Source organism: Homo sapiens, chromosome 20, assembly GCF_000001405.40.
Source record: "Homo sapiens chromosome 20, GRCh38.p14 Primary Assembly".
Lineage (NCBI taxonomy): Eukaryota > Metazoa > Chordata > Mammalia > Primates > Hominidae > Homo > Homo sapiens.
The window spans coordinates 17,144,052-17,169,152 of NC_000020.11; the positions used below are offsets into that span (position 1 = coordinate 17,144,052).

The window sequence follows — 25,101 nt, forward strand, 5'->3', positions numbered from 1 at the left end:
CATGATGGGGAACAGAAAACAAAACTCGGACCCAAACTGGGTGGGAGTCCTGAAAAAATATTCAACATAAAGCTGCGACCTTCAAGAGATAATGCTCTCAGGTGTAGACAAAGAAAAAACCCTTCCAAGAGGAGAGAGGATGTTGATCCATTCATGTCTCATGTCTTGGCCTTGGTGATGGGAGAAACATTAATAATAATAACTTTTTAAATAAACTTCCTTAGAAATCTCTGACCATAACTACCACCACCAGGTTGAGGGCAGAATTTCCTTAACCTATGAGTTCTGAAATAATCCAAGCCCTGACTGTAAATTAAAGTGTTCCTGGGTTAGTAGTATGTGTAAGAAACCAGCAGAAACAATTGCACATCCTTTTTAGAGGACTATCATCTTGACTCAAAACTCCAAAGCATTCCTAGAGACAAAGCTCCAAGAAAAATGAGCTCACAATCAAATATCACCACACACGGAAAACAAGGTAACGTGAGTGACAGGAAAGACAACAAGATAATCATACTGGCAATGACTACAGATATTGGAATTAACAGAACACAAAATAATTACGGATGGGCAGATATAAAAGCATTGGAAATATGATGAAGGAATAAAAAACACCCAACATTGACCAGGTATTTTTGAAAAAGAAACAAATAGAACTTCTGAAGAAAACTGTCAGAATTAACATCAGAAGTTCCATGGATGGGGGAAGCAGCAGGTTAGAGACATCTGAGATGAGAGCCCATGCATGAATGGGAAAGTGGATCTGAAAAAAAGTACAAGGAGATATATGGAAAAATGCAGTGCAGAGAGACGACAGGAAGGAGCATAGGATGAAGAAGTCCAACATGTGTAATCAAGGTTTCAGAAAGAAAATCAAGAGGCAGTGGGCCAGAAGCAATAACTGAAGAGATAATGCCTGAGAAATTTCCAGAACTGCCTGCTGAAAGGATTACATTATTCCTCAGATGCAGAAACCGTATTGAACCCAATGAGCAGAAATAAAAAGAAACTCATAAGTAGACATATCCCTGTAAAATTATATAATAACATATTTTTATTTTTAAAAAATCTTAGAAATAGCCAGAGAAAAAGACAAATATATGAAACTAGAAAGAAAGCTGCTGTGTCAATGACAGCCAAAGGCACAGGACTGTGGAATACAATTTCAAAGTGCTAAGAGAAAAATAACTGTGAGCATAGAATTGTACAGCTAGCAAAGATAAACTTGCAGGGGGCAGTGGAAATAAGGTTAAAGACATTTTCAGACAACCAAACTGGAGACTATTTTGCTAAAAGATTTTTACTACAGAAACCTCAAAAAGAAAGAAAATGATGCCTGGAAAATCTAAGACACAAGAAGGAATGGTAAACAAAGAAAATGATAAGCATGTCATAGTAAATGTTTGGGGTTAAAAAATAAAGTTGAATTGAAATCCTTGACAGCAATAGTACAGAAACTAGGAGCTGGTGAATGGAAGTAAAACATTCTACAATAAAATCTTATTTTGTTTGTGAGAAGCCTAAAGATTATGCTGAATCTTAGATCTTGTTAAACTTACATTCAATAGGTGTAGCATTTTCGAGGGGGCATGCAGAAGCCTTCTGAGAATGGGGGTACTCTGTTTCTTGATCTACATGCTGGCTATAGGAGGGTGTTCATTTGTGAAAAGTCAGTAAGCTGCACACTTGTAAGATATGCATTTTTTCTATATGTAAATTATACTGTAGTAAAAATTCAAAACATAAAAGAGAAATCACTAGGGTGACCATTTAAGTAATAGACTTAAGTAACAGGACTTACTGTTATATACAGGGTATATAAATAGGATATACAACTTCAAAACCAGGAGAGGAAATAAGTGAATTAGAGAAACACACACCAGATCCAAAAGAAAATTAAAAAGTTAAAAGGTCAAGTAAAATAAAAAAAGAAAAAATGAAAAGGGCCAAATTTTAAAAATACATAAAAGTGTATCCAAATATATCTGCAGTCATAATCAATATAGATTTGTTAAATGACACAAATTTACGGTCTGGATCTTTTCAAATGTGAAGAAAATGGTATAATAAATACTTAAAACAAATGATGAGATACCATAAGAATACCAACTAAAGAAGAGTTAGTGCAGGTATTAATAGTAAGCAAAATAGACTTTCTAGACAAAGCATTAGAAGTGTTAAAGTGAGGCACTAAAAACTGATAAAGATTTCAGTGCACAAAAGCATTACAGGAATTCTAAATTTCACAATAATGATATTATAGCTACTAAAATAAATATATTCACCCTAAGACTGGAAAAAATGATAAAGCCACCATTCTAGTAGGAGCTACTTAATTCTTCCTTCTCTGTAATTGAATGAAAGAAGATTTTTTAAAAGGCACAGGATAAAGATTTGAACAATGGCAGAAATCAAAACTTCCTCTTTAAAAAATACCATCCTTCCTCCAAAGGACATGAACTCATCCTTTTTTATGACTGCATAGTATTCCACGGTATATATGTGTCACATTTTCTTTATCCAGTCTATCATTGATGGGCATTTGGGTTGGTTCCAAGTCTTTGCTATTGTGAATAGTGCTGCAATAAACATGCATGTGCATGTGTCTTTATAGCAGAATAATTTGTAGTCCTTTGGTCATCTACCCAGTAATGGGAGTGTTTCTGGTTCTATATCCTTGAGAAATTGCCACACTGTCTTCCACAATGGCTGAACTAATACACTCCCACCAGCAGTGTAAAAACGTTCCTATTTCTCCACATCCTCTCCAGCATCTGTTGTTTCCTGACTTTTTAATGATCGCCATTCTAACTGGCATGAGATGGTATCTCATCGTGGTATTGATTTGCATTTCTCTAACGATGGATGAAGCTGGAAACCATCATTCTCAGCAAACTAACACAGGAACAGAAAACCAAACACTGCATGTTCTCACTCATAAGTGGGAGCTGAGCAATGAGAAAACATGGACACAGGGAGGGGAACATCACACACCATGGCCTGTCGGGCATTGGGGGACTAGGGGAGGGATAGCATTAGGAGAAATACCTAATGCAGATGACGGGTTGATGGGTGCAGCAAACCACCATGGCACATGTATACCTATGTAACAAACCTTCACATTCTGCACATGTATCCCAAAACTTAAAGTACTTATATATATATATATATGGAGAAACAAAATCATTTTAAAATGTGACTGCAACCCCTGAAATAACAAAAACACCTTCAAATCTCTGGACAAATTCATTTAGAATGCTCTTTAAACAAAAATAAAACCTGTATTTTTTCTGATTCCAAAAACAATATAAAATGCTCATATAAAATTGCAAGATCTCAAGTATGATATGACTCTCATCATCACACATCTCAGATAAATAAATGCACTGTTAGGTGTTTGGTCTTCCTTAGATCTCCTTAATCTCGATTGTGAGGCAGGAAGCATTTTTAATGAGTCTGTGTTCTAAGAGTCATGCTCTTTGTCAAATCCACTACAGATGACCATAGTTTTACCAATTAATTAGGCCTCTCCACTCTGCTTTGATACCTGAAAAATAACTGGTTTGAAATCATGGAGGAAAAACCCAGGCCAAGGTATTAATTGATGTTTCAGGCTGCAATAAAGAGATGACTTTTTCTGACCAATGAGAGGGTAGATTAATTAGCAGGATAAAACTTCAATACTGTTTTAATTGATTGGAACTTTCCAGTGTCCCTCCCTGAGCAATAATGTGGATATACATTAAGCTTTTGGGTACACAAGAGTAAGAAAAAGAGAAAAATGAGATAAGATGAACAGTGAGGTGTATGTTCTGGTGTTGCCCATTTAGAGGCAACAATGAGAGTAGATGCATTGGCTTCCAGTCACACGCCCTGATGTTCTCCCTTTTTCCCTGATAAGCAGCAGCTCAATAAGAGATTTGCCCAAGTGTTTGTTATTTTGCAGCCTGACAGGGAGGCACTTTCAAAAGGTTTGCTTTCTTCTTTTGCAGGACTACTAGGCATGTAGAGAAACTCTCTAGATGCTCAGTGTATTCATTTGTTATTACTTCCATAACAAATAACTGCTAATGGAGTGGCTTATATAACACAAATGCATTATCTTTAAGTTTTTAAAGTCAGATGTGCAACATGGATCTCACTGGGCTAGAATCAAGGTGTTGTCAGGGCTATGTTCTTTTCTGGTAGCTCTAGAGGGGCATCTGTTTCCCTGCTCATTTGGTTTTTGACAGAATTCAGTTCCTTTTGATTGTGACCAAGATTCCTTGTGACCTTCCAGCTGAGAGCCATCTCCAGCTTCTAGGGGCCCCTGTCTTCCTTGACTTGTGGCCTCCTTTCTCCATATTCAAAGCCAGCAATGACAGATTGAGTTCCCCTCATGCTTCAACACCCTTCTCCTTCTTCCAGCTTATCTCTCTCTCCCCAGCTGGGAAAGATTCTCCACTTTTAAGGACTTGTGTGATTAAAGTGGGCTCACCTGGATAATCCAGGATATTTTTTCCCTGTCTCAAGTTCTGTAACCTTAATCACATGCCAAGTCCCTTCTGCCATACATGTGAAGTGACACGTTCATGAGTACCAGGGATTAAGGCATGGACATCTTTGGGAGACCTTTTTCTGCTAACCACAGTGGGATAGAGAGGCGGTTCTATCACAGTCTGGTTCTCACAGTTTGGGAACCAAGTGAGCACTTCAAGCTGCAGAAAACCCTTGCATGGGGGAAGGAAAGAGGATGGCTCTGTTCTTTCCTTTTTCCTGCTCTCCCTCCCCTGCCTTCACTGTCTAGATGCCAGGATCCAAGCCATGGGCTGAGGAAAGTCAAGAAGGCATAGCAGTCCTTCCTAACTGGGCTGTGGGATATCTGAGTGCATACCAGTGTATTCAATGCTTAAAGAACGCTTTTGTGGTTTCTTCAGGGTTCCCTACAGGGTATTTCTCTCCTACAGCTCTCTAGCAGAGGAGGTGCATCTCTATCCAGATGACAAATGCACACTGAGAAGAAATGCAGGAAGTCAGCCTGAAGGGCTCAAGTACATGGCAATAGGTGGAGTTGCAAGTGAGGACTCAACCATATGAAATGGGGCTGTGTAAAGAGTGGGAGACAGCAATGGGGGTGCTGTGGCTCAGGGACTGGGAAGAGGCTCAACTATCCAATGCGCTCTAACATAAGGTCTTAATCTCAGTGGGGGGCTTCCCCAGAAGCAGACATTGAGAGGAAAATTCAAAGGCAAGCAGTTTACCTGGATGTTTCCTGCAATACCAGCAGGGAAGTTGGGATGTTATATAAGGAAGGGAGGCAGCCTATAAGGCATGCATTGTTATATCAACTAAGTGGTGGACAACTGAAGCTTCATCCCATGGGAGAGCCAGGAGAAGCAGTGTGGAACACACTGCAGAGCTAGCTAACCTGAGGGGCAAGGGACCTGGGGAACTCACACACTGTCTGCTGTCACTCACTGGCTGAGTTTCCTCCTGGGGAATGTTTAATGCTCCAACACTTCTGGCTTGTGTGGGCAGAGCATCCTTGTTAAAAAGTCCCCTGTCACAGAGTGGCAGGGCAGGCATCTAAAGTTATCAGCTGTACACTGGCATAGTAGCATTCTAGACAAACAAATGATGCATCCAGGCCTGGGGTGAAATGAAAGGGAAGAGTAAGAGAAAAGTATGCATGCTGTTGTTGTGCACTTTGAGGAATAGAATATATCCCACAATCTGGATAGGGATAAATCTAGAATGGAAAAGAGGGTTTCAAAAGATATCAGGTTCAAGAGACCAAGAGTATCATAGTGACTGGGGTGCAATGACTAGTATGCAAAACAGTAGCAATAGAAACCAGTATGTACCAAAAGCTCATTTACATGGCATAAGAATGAGGGCAAGACTGTGGGGAATGGGCAGGGAAGAGGTGAGCAAGCCTTTATGGAGAAAGACTGGCTGAGACCATGTCTTCAAGGATGGATCAGAGCTAGAACACTTTGCATCATTTGTTTTGGTAACCTCTTTCTGCTGTGACATTTAATTAAAGCCAGAAGGAAAGTGAGAGGGAAAATGGCCATGTCCATTGCATGAGGGGAAGGGGTATCTCCCAAAGTTCATTCTAGGCACAGCCATGGGGCTGTCCTGGAGCACAAGATGAATGCTCTTTGCTGTATGCTGAGATCGTCTCAGAAGAAAAGATCACACAGTGGTATTTCAGAGCTGAAATGGTTTTCTCAGCTCCTTTTTCCTAATTTGCTGGAGACTAGTTCAGAGAAAGTAATTAGAGTTGCTTTGGTAATGTGTTTGCTTTACCACTTTCAATTAAGGACAAGAATAAAGTGAGAGAAAGAGAGAGAGAGAGTGCACAACAGTGAAAGTACATTTTAATGCTCCCACCAGTCCTCCATGCAAACTTGCACATTATTTTCTTGGTTATTTTAAACTAATGAGTCCCCAAGTTGTTTCATTTTAAGCAGCTTTGTTAAGGTATAATTAACATATAATAAGTTGCACATACTTAAACTGTGCAATTTTGATAAGTTTTGACATATACATAAATGATGAAACCACTACTGCAATCAAGATAATGAATATGCCCACGATTCTAAAAGGTTATCTGTGTTTTTTGAAAACCCATCCTCTAGCCCCTCCTGCCCCTACAGGCACTCTGAAACAGACAACCACTTGCTTTCTGTCGCTATAGGTTAGTTTACATTGGTAGAATTTTATGTAAATGCAGCCATGCAGCATGTACTCTTTTTTGTATCATCTGGAATTATCTTGAGATTCATCTGTGGTTTTTTATGTATCAATAGTTTATTACTTTTCATTGCTGAGTGGTCTTAAGTTTTCAAGATTACAAAATCAAATATTTCTTTAATTTTGAGACGTGGTCATTGTATCATTTTCTTAGGGCTGCCTTAATTAATTACCACAAGCTTTAAAGAACAGAAATTTGTTTCAATTTCTGGTGGCTTTAAACAACAGAAATTTATTGTCTTGCATTTCTGGAGGCTAGACTTCAAAATCAGGGTGTCAGCACATTCCCTTGGAAGGCTCAGGGAAAATTGTGCCCTTCTCTGAGCTTCTGGTATTGCTGGCAGTCCTGGGTATTCCTTAGCATGCAGGCACATCACTCTCATCTCTGCCTGTATTGTTTATGGTGTTCTCCCCTGACTGTCTCTGTCTCTGTGTCTCTTCTCCTCTTCTTAAAATGATACCAATCATACTGGATTAAGGGCCCACTCTATTCCATTATGACCGTATCTGAATTAATTACATTTGCAATGGTCCTATTTCCAAATAAGTTCACATTCTGTGATTTCAGAAAGGACTTGAATTTGTAGGGGACAGCATCCAACCCCGGACAGTCATCCTACTTCACGAAATGTTGTATGGCTCTGTTGAATTAAGTTAGGAAAGGAGTGAATAATTTTGTTTTAGAATTCTTGACCTATCTTGAGATCACGTGAGCTAGGAATCACATTTCCCAAAGTGTATTCCAAATAATTACACATAAAATCATATTCTCTAAAAGTAGGATAGTGTGGTCAAATAAGTTTGATGAAGGCTGGTTTTTTTTTAAGTGTCTTTATTGAAGGCTTGTCAAATCTTTAACATGTACGACTAGAATAAACTTGGCTCTTTTCATTGCCTTTCTCAGCACAGCGTTGCTTTCAAGAGCTACAAATGAATTGAAAAGCAATTTAAATCTGTATTGCAGAACTCTTAACCAGAGGGAAAATACACTACATTATGTACAGTAAAAATGCCCCCAAGATCCCTATGCATTCCCACAAAGCCAACTGATCACCTTGCAGCAGCTGCCCCCAAATTATAGAGTCATCTGCTTAAAAATCCTCCCCAAACCTTTCTTCCAAAATATAATCTGAGCTAACCTTGTCTCTTCTGTCCCTTCCTCCACTCCCACCTTCCCAAATTCATTTTTTAATAGAAAAATGGAAAGTTGTCTGCCCTTTCTAACTTAGAAAAATTCAGCTTTTAGGTACTCTGTGGTTTTCCTTCCTAATGCAAATACACTAAAACTGTCTTAGAATGGATAAAAGGAGGGATGGTAGATGGTTTTCAATCATGAGAAAATCTGCTGAACTAAGTGGTGCAGGTTGAACCAAGGAAGAAGTTATGAAGGGAGGACAATGGCAGACATGCCAGGAAGATGGTACCACTATTTGTTCCAAGCTCAAACCTCAAAGCTTTCTGGTAAATTCCTGAACAAAGAAAATTGTTATCTTTGATACCTCTGGTTGGCCTACTCAAAAAGAGACTGCCAGGTGGACCTTTCTCTGCTTACTTCCAGATCATCAGCTTAGGCAAAAATTGTGCAAACAAGATTCACTGTGTCCAGACTACCAACAGTTTTATTTTTCTCCTGTCTTATGACTCCCGTTTTTGCCTTTGTTTCCTGGCTCATTCTACCAACTGACTCCTCATGTGAGTAAACAATATGAGTGCAAAATAAACTAATAAGCATGCTGCAAAATAACTACAAACGTCTCTGAATTTTTCTTTGATAAAAAACTTTTTCTGGTCTCTGTCACATAAATGATACTTCACAAGGAATACCCAAGTGGGGTATACCACGTACTCCAGCTTTTCTGGAAGCTCTGCACTTGCCTTTGAGAGGCTTTTCAATGACAAGGCTTCAAATGTTTACGCACATACATTCAATTTGCCAGTGTTCTTACCAGCCAGGTCTGCGGACCCCAGTGTTTCCAGTTGGAAGCCACTAAAAGGTAGGCAAGCAGCCCATTGAATAACTACCAAACACAGGATATACTCAAAGCAAAATATAATTTTTCCCTAACATCTTCCCTTTAATAGAAATTCTCTGCTTCTGGGTGAAATCTTACATAGGTCCAATGAGTTAGGCTACACAGTATCATGGTCACTTTAGCACATAAAGCCTCGATTTGGAAGTTAGACTGACCAGTTCTTGATAGTAATGAGATGTTTGGGCAAAAGTTAGTGTCCCATCTCCCATTCTCTAGCTAGGCCCACTGTGGCCTGTCAGTTTCAGGCAGTGGAGGCAGGGGTGGTTCCCCTTCATTCTTTCCCTACAATATTCCTTCCTCCCATAGCAGCTGACTGCAGGAAAGAGCATGGGCTGTGGAAAAGCCACCTTCTGACATACGGGGTCTGTTCTTCACCTTATGTCATGACTCTGGTATCAGGTATCAATACTTTCTCTTACAGATGCACTTGTGGGCTCTTCCAGATGCAGGTCCCATAATGTAGACCATGTTTCTTCTTTGGCTAGTCACAGTGTGTCCAGTTCATGGTCAGATGCTCACTGTTGGGGTTCTCCTCAACTCTTTGAGGGAGTCCCCTTGCCAAGGGTCTGAAATAGCTCCAGAGGCACTCTCTTTCATCCAGGGTCAGTGGCAGGTCCACGGGACACACTCATACTCGCTGTGACCCATGGTGGACAGGGAACACGCTCATTTCCCATATGCAAAAGCCACCCACAGACAACCACAAAAAGGTGTCAGCATCCCTTCCCTGACCTCTGAATTTCTTGGGTTTGGAGACAGATTACCATCTCCTGGGTCTCCAAAGTTTGGGGGGGCTGCGTATCAAGTTCTGAATGGCCCCATTGAGCTCTTCTCCCCAAACACTAAGATTGAGATGAAGGAACAGGTGATGTTTGTACACCTCCCAGCAGCACAACTTTCTCTAAATACTCATTAAAAACTCCTCTTTCGAGAAGTGTCTGAAGACATTTATGCAGCCAAAAAACACATGAAAAAATGCTCATCATCACTGGCCATCAGAGAAATGCAAATCAAAACCACAATGAGATACCATCTCACACCAGTTAGAATGGCGATCATTAAAAAGTCAGGAAACAACAGGTGCTGGAGAGGATGTGGAGAAATAGGAACAATTTTACACTGTTGGTGGGACTGTAAACTAGTTCAACCATTGCAGAAGTCAGTGTGGCGATTCCTCAGGGATCTAGAACTAGAAATACCATTTGACCCAGCCATCTCATTACTGGGTATATACCCAAAGGACTATAAATCATGCTGCTATAAAGACACATGCACATGTATGTTTATTGCAGCACTATTCACAATAGCAAAGACTTGGAACCAACCCAAATGTCCAACAATGATAGACTGGATTAAGAAAATGTGGCACATATACACCATGGAATACTATGCAGCCATAAAAAATGATGAGTTCATGTCCTTTGTAGGGACATGGATGAAACTGGAAACCATCATTCTCAGCAAACCATCACAAGGACAAAAAACCAAACACCGCATATTCTCACTCATAGGTGGGAATTGAACAATGAGAACACATGGACACAGGAAGGGGAACATCACACACCGGGGACTGTTGTGGGGTAGGGGGAGTGGGGAGGGACAGCACTAGGAGATATACCTAATGCTAAATGACGAGTTAATGGGTGCAGCACACCAACATGGCACATGTATACATATGTAACAAACCTGCACGTTGTGCACATGTACCCTAAAACTTAAAGTATAATAAAAAAAAAACTCCTCTTTCTACATCTCACTGTCTTGAACCTCCAGATGAGGTGCTCAAAAGTTTTGAAGCTGATTTTTCTTTGTAAATGCTGCATGTGATGAGCTGGTGCCTCACTTTGGAATTTCATTTCTATCATATCTTGGTTCCCATTAGAAATTTTAAGATCCTGTTAGAATAAGACATGTGTTAAAGGGCAAAAATGATGGCTAGCACACCCTTTCTCTAATAAAGAATGCCAGAAATCGGACAGGCCTACCACTGTATGATTTTTCTCTTTGATGCTGTATTGACCTGATTTTCTACGTATACATCATGTAGGAAAAAAAAAGAAGACCCATGCAAATGTAAAAAAAAAAATCATGACTCAGAGCAAAAATAAAAGTAGCAAAGTTAAATTTTAAGTGCCTCTTTGAAGTTTTAAACAGTGCATTCCAAATTCCAAAATAGTTTTTGAGATAAAACATTTTTAAATAATTAATTTTAAAAACTACTTTAAGAAACAATCCAGATGTTCAAAATAAGTGGCTTATTAAACACATAAGTGTAGTTTATATTTTGGATAACTTGACAGTAATTACAAATAATCATCTAGATCTAAACTTGTTTTCTCTTTTAGTCATATAAAATAACTCTACATATTTATGCATTACATGTGTTTGTTACATGCATAGAATGTATATTGATCAAGTCATCACCTTGAGTATTTCTCGTTTTTATGCGTTAGTATCATTTCAAGTCCTCTCTTCTAACTACTTTGAAATATACATAATCTTGTTGCAAAGTATAGTCACTCTAGTCGGTATTAAACATTAGAACTGATTCCTTCTATCTAACTGCATGTTTCTACTCATAACCAACCTCTCTTTAACTCCCCTCCCACTCAGCCCATCTTCTCAGTCTCTCGTATCTATCACTCTATTCTCTATGTTCACGAGATACATTTTAAGTGCTCCCTGAAATAGCTCCAGGAACACTCTCTTTTTTCCAGGGTCCATGGCTGGTCCACGGGAGACACTCATACACGCTGTGACCCATGGCAGACAGGAAACACACTCACTTCCCATATGCAAAAGCCACTCACGGACAACCACCAAAGGTTCTCAAGAGCCCTTCAAGATCTCTGCATGAGTGAAAACATGCAGTATTTGTCTTTCTGTTGCTAGCTTATTTCACTTAATATAATGGCCTCCAGTTCTATCCACGTTGTTGCAAATGACATTATTTCATTCTTTTTAATGGCCAAATAGCATTCCATTATGTATATATACTACTTTTTTAATCTATTCATCCATTGATGGACACTTATGTTGACTCCATAACTTTGCTATTGTGAATCAGCCTATGATAAACATGTGAATGCAAGTGTCCCTTTGACAGGGTGATATTTTTTTCCTTTGGAAAAATACCCAGTAGTGAGATTGATGGATTGTATGATAGTTTTAGTTTTAAAGAAATCTCCACACTGTTTTCCATATTGGTTATATTAATTTATATTCCCTCCAACAGTGTATAAGTGCTCCCTTTTCTCCGCATCCTCACCAGAATCTGTTATTTTTTTCTTTTTATAATAGCCACTCTAACTGGGCTGAAATAATATCTCCTTGGGGTTTTGATTTGCATTTCCCTGATGGTTAGTGATGTTGAGCATTTTTTCATAAACCTGTTGGCCATGTGTATGTGGTCTTTTGAGAAATGTCTATTCTCAAAATATGTCCTGTGCCCATATTTTAGTGACTTTTTTTGTTTTCACTGTTTAGTTGTTTGAGTTCCTTGTATTTTTTGGATATCAGTCGCCTGTCTGATGAGTAATTTGAAAATATTTTCTCCCATTTAATAGGTTGTCTCTTCACTCTGTTAATTGTTTCTTCTGCTGTACAGAAGGTTTCTGGTTTAATATAGTTCCATTTATCTACTTTTATTTTTGTTTTCTGTGCTTTTGCAGTCTTATCCATAAAATCTTTGCCTAGAGTGATTTTTGAAGTTTTTCCTATGCTTTCTTCTAATAGTTTTATAGTTTTGGGTCTTACATGTAAGTCTTTAGTCCATCTTGAGTTGATTTTTGTGCATGATGAGACATAGGGACCCAGTTTCATTCTTTTGCATATGGTTATCCAGTTTGCCCAGCGCCACTTATTTAAGAGGGTATCCATTCCCCAGTTTATATTCTTGGCAGCTTTGGCAAATCTCAGTTGGCTGTAAATACACGGATTTATTTATATGTTCTCTATCCTATTCCATTGGTTTACATATCTATTTTTATAAATATGGTTTTCGTTACTACAGCCTGGTGATATGTTTTGAAATCAGACAGTGTAATCCTTCCAGCTTTGTTCTTTTTGCTCCAGGTAGCTTTGGTTATTTGGGCTTTTTTTGGTTCCATACAAATTTTAGGATTTTTTTTTCTACTTCTGTGAAAAATGATACTGATATTTTGATAGGAATTACACTGAATATGTAGATTGCTTTGAGCAGTGTGGTCATTTTGACTAGATTAATTCTTCCAATCCATGAGCATAAGATGTTTTTCCATGTGTTTGTGTTGTAGATTTTTTAATAGCGATCTTTTACCTCCTTGGTTAAATTTATACCTAGGTATTTTGTTTTTCTTGTAGGTGTTATAAGTGGAATTGCCTTGTTGATTTCTTTTTTGGTTGTTTCATCCTCATTGGTGTATAGAAAAGCTACTGACTTTTGTAAATTGATTTTGTATCCTGCAACTTCACTGAATTTTTTTTTATCAGCTCTGGAAGGTTTTTGGTGAAGTCTTTTGGTTTTTCTAGGTATAAGATCATACCATTTGCCAAAAGGGACAGTTTGATTTCTTTTCCGATTTGGATACCACTTTTTTTTTCTTGCCTGATTTCTCTGGCTAGGACTTCCAGTACAATGTTGAACAGAAGTGGTGAAAGTGGGCATCCTTATCTTGTTCTAGTTCTTAAAGCAAAGGCGTTCAACTTTTCCCAACTCAGTATGATGTTAGCTATGAGTTTGTCATATATGGTCTTTATTATTTTGAAGTATGGTCATTCTATTCCTAGTTTGTTGAGTGTTGTTATCATAAAGGGTGATGAATTTTGTCAAATGCTTTTCCTGTGTCTACTAAGATGATCATATGGTTTTTGTCCATTTTGTTGGTGTGATGTATCATGTTTATTGATTTGTATATGCTGAACCACTCTTGCATCCTTGAGATAAATCCCACTTGATCATGGCGTATTATCTCTTCGATGTGCTATTGGATTCAGTTTGCTAGAATTTTGCTGAGGATTTTTGGATCTATGTTCATCAGGAATATTGACCTGTAGTTTCTGTTGTTTTCGTTGTGCCCTTATCTGGTTTTGGTATCAGGGTAATACTGGCCTTATAGAATGAGTTAGAGAGAATTATCTCCAATTATTATGAAATTTTGATTGTTTTATACAGTTAAAAATAAAAATAAACCAAACATTTTTATGGCATGCCTTTTAGTAAGTGTATTTGTATACTCACAAAAAAGTCTGAAACAATTAACACCTATATATTGAGAAAAGTCATTTCTGAGTGGTAGAATTGTAGGAAATTTTCAGTGTTTACTTAATTTAGTTTTAGTTTACATTTTTCTGCATTACCTGATTTCTTTAAAATGAATATTTTTATCTCTTATAGTAAGAAGAAAAATTAAAAAGATGTTTTAATTGAAATAAAGTATATTTCTTTCAAAAATGTGCAGTCTTTCAACTAACATGGTTGTGCTTGAGTTGTTACAAAATGCAGCAAGAATTTTTCATATTAACCATAATTTTGTTTCAATTCTGAATTGGGTGGCTTTGCATGTAAATATGTCTTTAAAAATTTCTTAAAATATTGATGAGCCAAGCCACTTGTAAATAAGTCTGTTTATAGTCTCATGATTTAATACATATTTCTTTGATTCAGTGGTTGTAAACCAATTGTATGCAAAAAAAAACTATGAAATTTCAATTTGCAAACATTTTCCCAATCACACAATAGAAAAATAGCCTTAAGAATTGGGCAGCTTAAGTTCCAATTAAATAGATTGCTTATCCATATTAGATATATGCATTGTGTCTGTTTTCAATAATATATACAGATTTCTATTCTGCAAGCTTATTTAAATATATATATTCTATATTCATTATAATATTACTATATGCTTCACTTATATCAATTCTTCCTAGGCCCCATAGGAGGAAATTTATCTGCTAATGTTACAGATTGAAGAGAGAGGAGAGAGACACAGCAGGGCATAATACGTGCAATACATTCTTAATCAGTCTTCCTTGGGAATCATAGAGCTTATGGATATAGAGTAAATGTGCAGCAAGAATGATCTGGTATACCATTATCTTTTAATTGGAGTTTCTATTTCTGTCACTGTTTCATTTGCTCACCATAATAGCTTAAACCGTAGCAATTGGCAGAAGCAACATTGTTGGTTTGGACTGTAGACAACAGGACACATGCAAGTCTTTTATTTCCAAAGAGGCTTGGAGAGGAATTTTGGATTTTGCATAGATTTTGCTTGGGGAACAAACTGAATCTGAAAATAGCTAACTGCATTTAAATCAGATTCCTGAGAAGTCTTTGCATCCAAGCAACACCTGATGAGTCCTTCCCAACTCCTTTTCTTATTTCTTCAATTTCTAGCTGAAGGTTAATTTTTTACAAGTTTAAAGATGTATCTTCCTGCAAATGTTATATAAGAAGACTGAAAAATGGAAGGCTTTGTGTTTGTTGGGAGCTAATGACCCAACACATCAATCCATTCATACATAAAATGTGAGCAGACAACTTTGTCTTTGCATAATAGATGGTGAAATTTCTGATAGTACTTGTCTTTGTTTGGAGGCAATTCACAAATGGAAATGGGAAATGCTGAGCCTGGCTAGCCTAGACAATTACATTTCTATTTTCTAAGTTGCCTGTCTCTTTTTGCTCCTAAAAGTTAAGTCTTATCCTTATAAACAGCAACAGTGTTTGTTCCCAAACTTGTTTATACCACTTTCCAATTTCTGAAATTATGCACTCTTTAAATGTCATGTGAAGACAATAAAATATGAGTGCAAAGAGATTTCTTTTTTATAAAACTTAGTTGAATACTTTGGACAATCTCGATAAAGGTGAATAACTTAAAATTTGCTATGAATTAATTTACACTCCCCCCAACAGTGTAAAAGTGTTCCTATTTCCCCACATCCTCTCCAGCATCTGTTGTTTCCTGACTTTTTAATGATTGCCATGCTAACTGGCATAAGATGGTATCTCACTGTGGTTTTGATTTGCATTTCTCTAATGACCAGTGAGGATGAGCTTATTTTCATATGTTTGTTGGCTGCATAAATGTCTTCTTTTGAGAAGTGTCTGTTCATATCCTTTGCCCAATTTTTTATGGGGCTGTTTTTTCGTGTAAACTTATTTAAGTTCCTTGTAGATTCTGGATATTAGCCATTTGTCAGACGGACAGATTGCAAAAAATTTGCTCCCATTCTGTAGCTTGCCTGTTCACTCTGATGATAGTTTCTTTTGCTGTGCTGAAGCTCTTTAGTTTAATTAGATCCCATTTGCCACGTTGGGCTTTTGTTGCATTGCTTTTGGTATTTTAGTCATGAAGTCCTTGCCCATGCCTATGTCCTGCATGGTATTGCATTAGGTTTTCTTCTAGGGTTTTTGTGGTTTTAGGTCTTACGTTTAAGTGTTTAATCCATCTTGAGCTAATTTTTGTATAAGGTGTAAGGAAGGGGTCCAGTTTCAGTTTTCTGCAACCATTGTAGAAGACAGTGTGGCAATTCCTCGAGGATCTAGAACCAGAAATACCATTTGACCCAGCAATGCCATTACTGGGTATATACCCAAAGGATTATAAATCATTCTACTATAAAGACACATGCACACGTATGTTTATTGTGACACTATTCACAATAGCAAAGACTTGGAACCAACCCAAATGCCCATCAGTGATAGACTGGATAAAGGAAATGTGGCACATATACACCATGGAATACCATGCAGCCATGAAAAAGGATGAGTTCATGTCCTTTGCAGGGACATGGATGAAGCTGGAAATCATCATTCTCAGCAAACTAACACAGGAACAGAAAACCAAACACTGCACATTCTCACTCATAAGTAGGAGTTGAACAATAAGAACACATGGACATAGGGAGGGAAACATCACACACCGGGACCTGTCAGTGGGTAGGGGGCTAGGGGAGGGATAGCATTAGAAGAAATACCTAATGTAGATGACAGGTTGATGGGTGCAGCAAACCACCATGGCACGTGTATATCTATGTAACTAACCTGCATGTTCTCCATATATATCCTAGAACTTAAAGTATAATTTAAAAAATAAATTTATGCCTGTAGTCCCAGCACTTTGGGAGGCCGAGGCGGGCGGATCACGAGGTCAGGAGATCGAGACTATCCTGGCTAACACAGTGAAACCCCGTCTCTACTAAAAATACAAAAAATTAGCCGGGCATGGTGGCGGGCGCCTGTGGTCTCAGCTACTCGGGAGGCTGAGGCAGGAGAATGGCGTGAACCCGGGAGGCGCAGCTTGCAGTGAGCCGAGATCGCGCCACTGCACTCCAGCCTGGGTGACAGAGCAAGACTCCTTCTCAAAAAAAAAAAAAAAAAATTGGCGAAAAAAATGCTATGAATTAAAAATGATATGACTGTAAAAGATTAGGGAGAAAAGTGTTAAAAGTAGGAAGATTCTGTACTCAAATTATTTCCCCTTTTTTTTTCTACTGTCATCATTGTAATTTAATTATTGTTTCTCTTTAAAGAAATTTTAAAAAATCAAAACTCATAGGTGAGTCAGAGGATAGTTTATGCAAGAGACATTAAGCATTCCTGACCACTGGGGATTGTTAACTCATCCATTTGTAAGACTCTTTCTGAATCCTATGCCCAGAGATTCTGATTTAGGCGGTGTAGGCACAATGAGATACAGGCATCTGGATTTTTAAAATTTTCACAAATAACTCCAATACACAGATGAGCTTGAGAATTGCTGCATTAAAACAACATTTCTCAAACTATACTGTATACACTGTCACCTGAGGATACTGTTAAATGCAGATTCTAGTTCACTAGGTCTGCAGCAGTGATGTCCAAGGTTCTGCATTTCTACCAAGCTTTCAGATGATCCTGATGCTGCTAGTCCAGGGAACACATCTTGAGTAGCCAGTACCAAGGCCAGGATCTCACCACATGGTGAGACACACATGCATGTATCTCATTGTGCCTGCACCGCCTCAATCAGAATGCTGCTCCCAGGACTTAATCTTCTGGACCCAGCCGCAGTGATTTCCAGGAAATTGCATTGTGCAACTGAAGCTGAAAGCCACTTCCCTGGAAGGTTATATATTAAACTTGGCATCAACATATGTTGAGGCACCCTGCCTATAAACTTCTGCTAAAATATGTTGTTTGGTTTCTGTCCTCAGAATGGTTTCCCAGTTCTTCTCCATTCTCTTCTCTTTACTTATAAAGTTAAACTGTTGATTGAGGATCCTTCTTGAATAGATCATATCATTGACACCATTATTTCCACAAGACTTGCCTTATACAATAAATCAACTCTAAAAACTTTGACACGATGAACAAGCCATTCATTTGAGAACAGAGACCATGTGTTAAACTTACTCTAATCCTCCAAATTCGGCTCCTGGAGCTGTAAAAATAGCACATGGATTGAGAGCCAGATGTCGTGTTCTGCAGAGAGCTGGTTTGGTAATAAGTTTCATCTGTGTGAATGTTCAATGCCTTGATGAGCTGAGAGGCCTGGTGTGGAGGAAGGCGGGAGGAAGGCTAACCCTTTCTGGAGAGGATCTTTGGGAATGCAAAGAACAACTTAAATATCAAATTCCACATCAAAAATTAGAAGTGTTGAATTTGATATAGCTGTTGGAATGACTGAATCAGAGCTTATTACCAAACCAGCAAAGATTTGCACAAATATGGGATTCATTGAGCAAATCAAGTGCAGAAATCTTTCAGACATTGAACATGTGAAAGGAATGTGAACATTTACTATATATAAAACACTGGGCTGTTCATAGGAGAAATGCAAATGTGAACCAGAGGTGCCCCCACTTCTGGCATACAACCTATAGAAAGAATCACATCTCATCTTTGCACAACAGATGATACTTATCTTACTCTGAGCATTTTACATTTTTCTACCATTTAAACCTCCCAGCAGCTCTATGAGATGCTGCCATGATTCCCAGATTATTCTGCATAACACTACAGATTTCCAAATATATTCCCACAAATTATCTTATTTGATCCTCACAACAGCCCATGGGGTAAATTATTTTCCCTTTGCACACAAGGAAACCAAGACTCCAAGAGGTTAAGTAACTTTCTCAAGATCACACAGCTAGAAAGTAACAGAGTTCAGGATCCAGATCTGGCCAAGTACTTTTCCCCTCACACTGTGATGAAAAGCTGGCTTACTTGAAGTGACCACATTACTTGTGTCTGTTCAGGCAGATTTATAAGGCTAAACTCACCATTTTTTTTCCTTCTATCACAAAGTACCCAGCATCTTCCTATGACAAATGCAAATGTGCTCAGGGCTTCTGAGAAACCAATTGTTTTAGAAGCCACAGGGAAGGAACAATGTTATCTTTTTCAAAAATCTATACCTTATTCCTAATTTCATGGGTTCCAACCCTCTGCAGATTGTGGAAACATTGATTTATAGTGGCTGACCTCATGGTGCTCTCCACTTACCTGCAGGCAATACTATCTTTGAAACAAACAAAAAATATAAAAACTTAAAAAATTATTCTAGTTCCAAAGACTAGTGAAAAAAAATCAGAATGAACTGTAGGTGTGTGGCTGGTTGCATTTCCCCAAAACAGCCACATCAATAAATCCTTCACATATGCTCCTCTTACAAGGTGACTCGACACTCCTCCTATGGAGAGATGGGTCTATGTCCTGCCTGATGCTGGGCAGGTTTTGTGACTTTAGCAGAAGTGCCACTGCATGACTTACAGGGCTAGGTCATAAAAGGTGACGCAGTTCCCACCGGGTCTCTCAGGATGTTCCTATTGGAACCCAACCATCAAACCTGCCAGATGAAAAAAATCACATGATAAAGCTCTGCCTAGATGCTCCAACCAATAGCCAGTATCCAGCATCAGACCTGCAAGTGGAGACACATCCAGAGGATTCCAGCCCCATCACTAAGACATGCCTCTCCTTCCAGTCTTTTCAACTGAGCTTCCTGACATCCAGGAACAGAAGCCACCTTGCCAAACCTATGCCCTGGCCAAACCCCTTACCGACAGAACCCATAATCATAACAAAATGGGTGTTTTCTGTCACTACATTTTGGGGTAATTTGTTAGATAAAAATAGATATCTATTGGGCAGCAATACATAACTAATAAAAGATGATGGAGCTTTCTATCATTCATTATGACTTTAATATCAGGCTTTCAGGATAATTGAATCATTAAATATGAGGCTGTTACATGTAATTTAATGGTGTTAGAAGTCCAGACTTACAGTTTCTAGTCACTGTAGTAAAATTAAAGTAATAGGTGTGTTTGAAATAAAAAGTGAAAAAAACTCTTAAAATACAGTGTGTAATTGCTAACCATGCATCACTGAATGAGCAGGCACACAATAAAAAACAAAACAGTGAAAATGAAAATATAATTCAAACTCAGTATATTATAGAAAAATAGAGAAAATGCCTTTTTTTAATGACCTACCAACGGACATCAAAGACACAATTATAGCTGAAGCTTAATTTTGAAATGACAAAACACCTAATTACATTGTATTAAAGCAAAATGCAGACCAATTGGTAAACTAATTAGAAATGGATTTCATTTTCATATCATTTGTTCATGCATGTAATGTTATTCTGTTTCTTTTCCCTGCTCATTAATATGGGAAATGGAAAAATTACAAGAGTTGAAAAGAACTTGGAAAAAATTCATTTACAGAAATATATATAAATATATATAATATATATTACAGAAATATATAAATATATCTAATACATATATTATAGAAATATATAAAAATATATTATATATTACAGAAATATATATAAATATATATATTTCATAATATATATTTCATTATATATATAACAGAAATATATATTTTATATATATATATAACAGAAATATATATTATATATATATATATATATTAGTTCTGTGTGTGGATTTTAGCTGCTTCAAAAACTTAATGAGTTGCCAGCATCTCTGGTTTCAAAAAAACTGCAATTCTAAGAGTACCTTAGATTTGTGACCTCGTTGTCCACTCCACTTACCTACAGGGAAGACTATCTTTGAAATAACAAAAAATATAAAAACTTAAAACGTTATTATAGTTCTAAAGACTAGTAAAAAAAATCAGAATGAACTATAACTGTGTGGCAGGTTGCATTTCCCAAATATAATATAATAAACATACAATTATTAAACAGAACAATCAACTATGCCATTACTGTGTTGCAAGATACCTGCTGTGTAACTCTCTTGTTTAACTGTCTTTTCTCAGGGATAGAGATGCATGAACTTTGGAGAAAATGGGCTGAAGAGGGAGACAGAATCATAACAGTCTGCTTCTCCTTTATTCATCTCTCCACTTAAAGCCCTGGTATTGATGGATCCCAATGCAAAAGTTCCATTCTCTTTGTAATCTCTCTTTATGGTTTTCTAATACTCAATTAATATTAAGAAAATTTTTTTCAGCAACTTACTTCTAAATTTGGTGTCTAAGATTTTTCTCTCCTCAGAATTTACAGACAAAATATAAAACTTTTGGAAGATGCAAGTGTTCACAGCCTTCCTGACACTTTTACAACACTTCATGCCCTCAAAGCCCAGGAACAATAGTAATTTTCTTGTTTATTAACATTTCCAGGAAAGAATCACTACTTGCTTCTGCACCTCATCTCTGTTTTCAGATTCGCCAGATTCCACAAAGTCAAATCTAAAACTTACAGATAATTCCTCTTTCTTCACTAAAATGCTTAAATATATTAAGATCCTGTCTTTAAAAAGAAAGAATAGAGTTTCATGTGGCTCAATAGAAAAGACATGTTCAACAGGATTAATTTAATTAAAAAGCAAAACCAAAATATGAATAAAGGGGAAGCCCAGTTATTAGTCAGGGCCTCCTCTTCCAAGTCAAGAGACAGTAACGCTGACACATGGTGTCCACAGCAATAACCCGGGAACATTTGAAGATAACCTGCCTGTGTAACCAAACCCAGGTTCAACTGCTTGCCCCTAGAAAACCAGATTTGAGAGACAAAGGTTGGTGGGAGGAAAAGCAGGTTTATTTGGAGAGCCAGCAAACTGACAGGGTGGTGGACTATTGTCTTAAAGCACCATTTTAAGTTAATATAAGTTGCAGCCTCTTTTTATGTTAAGGGCAGGGGGAAAAGGAGGGAACTGGGATCAATGGGTAATCCATGAACATGGACAGCTGTGTGCCAGCGAGGGTCTGAGTAGGTTGGGAACTTCTTTATCCTTGGTCAGGTCACAATGTTCCTGTAAATCTTTAACAAAACATAGTTGTTTACATACTTCTTTAACCCTAGAGTTTAAAAAAACTACATAATTGCTGTTTTGCATATTATCTCAGTGCACTAAACTATCCTAGCTTATGTGCAGGAATAGGTAAAGCCCCTTAAACAAAAATGGAGTTAGTTGTATTAGTCCTTTTGCTGTTTCACTGTTATACCTGGACCTCATGCACTGAGATACAGATTGAATAGAGCTGGGTCAAGACCTGAGTGTTGGACTCTTGAGGCCACATGGGTGATTTTAATGCCCAGACAGGGCTGAGGTCTTGATTAAGTGAGAGGAGTCTTTCTTCCCTTCTACAGCGACTACAGGAGTTGGGAAGAAGCAAACATTCTAAATGCCACTTTTTTGAGCAGTGTTGTGTTGGGTATGGTAGTAGGTATGTAAGAAGAGGGTAAAATTTATATCTCTTAAAATTTCTTTTTTTACTTACAGAATTTTTCTCTCCCACAAGCTACTTGCCTTATAGTCTAGCTTGTTGGGGAAATGCACAGAGTGGAGCAAATCTTGTTTTTCTTTTCTTCATTTTGCATCTAAGATCAGATTCAAATCTCTTTGAATCCCAGTAATATAAACTCTGGGTTTTGGTGGATCTGAGAAATGACAGGAATAATAAACATTTATGAAATATCCAGAAGTTGAACCAAATAGCAAATTTGGGTGACAAAGCGCCACCTCTAGTCTAAGCAGGTGTAGAGGCTAAAATCTGCAAAAACATCTAATGAAGGCAAGGTTTGTACTTTATTTTCAGGAAGCAGAAAAGCACCTGCTGTTTATTTATGCTTCTCTAAATGCAGGGTTGTTTTGTTTTGTTTTGTTTTGTTTTGTTTTGTTTTGTTTTTTGAGACGGAGTCTCGCTCTTTCGCCCAGGCCGGACTGCAGTGGCGCTATCTTGGCTCACTGCAAGCTCCGCCTCCTGGGTTCATGCCATTCTCCTGCCTCAGCCTCCAGAGTAGCTGGGACTACAGGCGCCCGCCACCGCGCCCGGCTAATTTTTTGTATTTTTAGTAGAGACGGGGTTTCACCGTCTTAGCCAGGATGGTCTCGATCTCCTGACCTCGTGATCCTCCTGCCTCAACCTCCCAAAGTGCTGGGATTACAGGTGTGAGCCACAGGTGTTCTTAATCTAAATATGAGTGGGCTGGCTTTTCTTTCAAACAAGCTGTATTCAGCAGCTCCTGGAGGCTTAAATAACTTTTACAGGTAAGGCTGTAAGCTAAGCCACAAATCAAACTTACCGCCATTGCAGTCTTGGCTTTATAGTTTTGCCTTTTCTAGAATGTCATGTAGTTGGAATCGTGCAGTATGTAGCCTTTTTAGATTGGACTTTTTCACTTAGTAATATGCATTTAAGGTTCTCCTATGTCTTTTCACGGTTTGATAGCTCATTTTTGTCAGCACTGAATAGCATTCCATTGTGTGGATGTACCATAGTTTATTCATGCATTCACCTACTGAAGACCACCTTGCTTTACTTCCAAGTCTTAGCAATTATAAATAAAGCTGCTATAAAAACATATGTGCAGGTTTTTGTGGGGACATAAGTTTTCAACTTCTTTGGGTAAATACTCAGGAGTGTGATCGCTGGGTCATATGGTAAGAGTATGCTTAGCTTTGCACGAAACCACCAAACTGTCTTTCAAAGTGGTTGTACCATTTTGCATTCCCACCCGTATTAAACAAAAGCTCCAGTTTCCTCATGTCCTCACCAGCATTTGGTGTTGTCAGTGTTCTGGATTTAGGGCATTTTAATAGGTATGCAGTGTTATCTCATTGTTTTAATTTGCATTTCCTGGATGATAAGCATCTTTTCATATTTATTTACCATCTGTGTATCTTCTTTAGTGAGGTGTCTGTTCAGATCTTCTGCCCTTTTTTAACGGGGTTGTTTTCAAAACTCTTCAAGAGTTCCTCATATATTTGGAAATAGTCCTTTATCAAATACATCCTTTGCAAATAAGAAGTGTGGCAACATAGTAAGGGCAGAACTGCAAAATAGAAGAAAACCTGAGTCTGTAATGATCATGAGATGTCTTAACGGGCTCAGTATCTTAACTCTGCATATCTTTTATGTGATAGAGAAAAATGTCTGTCTGCTTTTTTGCATTTTTTTTTGAAAGAAAAAGAAAGTTGAAAGAAAAAAAGAGGAAGGAAGGAAGGAAGGAAGGAAGGAAGGAAGGAAGGAAGGAAAAAGCAGCATGGTGCTATTAATTTCCTTCCAGGCTGGGAATCTTCCTCCCCTCACCCAGCATCCAGGACATAAGAAGTAATCAATGCACATATGTTGATTGTGTCCCAAGAAGAAAACGTATTATAACCCTGTGTTCTTTGTTATAACGCCACAGTGATTATGTGAGAAAATAATTTTGAGCACAACTTTTAGTCTCAATACCTTCTCTTCTACTCTTTGTTCCCGTGGTGCTTTTTGTTTTGTTTTAGAGTTGTCACATTTTATCTTGGCAACAGTGTGGTTCACATCCACTGTTCATGCTTTATCCCCTTCCTCTGGGGCAAAGCCTCTCCTCTCTGGGTCACATTTCAAGGAGGAGCTGCCATCACAGAACCCTGACCTTTTGGCTATAGCTAAGTGAACTGGAGTCCTTCCCTGGGATTTTTCAGAATCTTACCCCAAAGCCTATTACAAGCCTCCATTCTCTCTCTCATGTGCTGTTGAATAGCCTCCAATTAGATGCCTTGTTTCCTTCCCCCTCCTGACCTCCCACAGACTAGTCTCAGTCAGTTTCTCCAAAACTCTATTCAGATCGTGTCAATTATCTTCTCGATTCTCTCTTTTGACTTACCATCTCACTCTGGATGAAATGCAGGACTTTCATCATTTCCCACGAGCTCCCTCACTTCATTTCCAGCCACTCTCCTCTTGCTGCCATGATGTTCCCTGTACATGCTGGGCACACTCCGACCTTGGGGCCTTGGCATTTCCTCCACCTAGAACCTTCTTCCCACCACCCTTCTTCCCAGCTTACATCAGTGGCTTACCCCTCACATAAGTTTCAGCTTGAATGGCACC

The 25,101-nt window shown here is 38.2% G+C and overlaps 1 long non-coding RNA gene across 2 annotated transcripts in view; it reads left to right on the forward strand.

Moving 5' to 3' along the window:
• LOC105372544 (uncharacterized) overlaps positions 1-25,101 on the forward strand; it is a 74,761-nt gene that overhangs the window by 21,874 nt on the left and 27,786 nt on the right. The window contains exon 3 of one of the 2 annotated variants that reach the window (XR_937288.2): positions 8,297-8,461. The exons of the other annotated variant lie outside the window; for it this stretch is intronic. This is a non-coding gene — a long non-coding RNA (uncharacterized LOC105372544). Of the gene's footprint in view, positions 1-8,296; positions 8,462-25,101 lie in introns of those variants that run through there. 2 annotated transcript variants of the gene reach the window in all.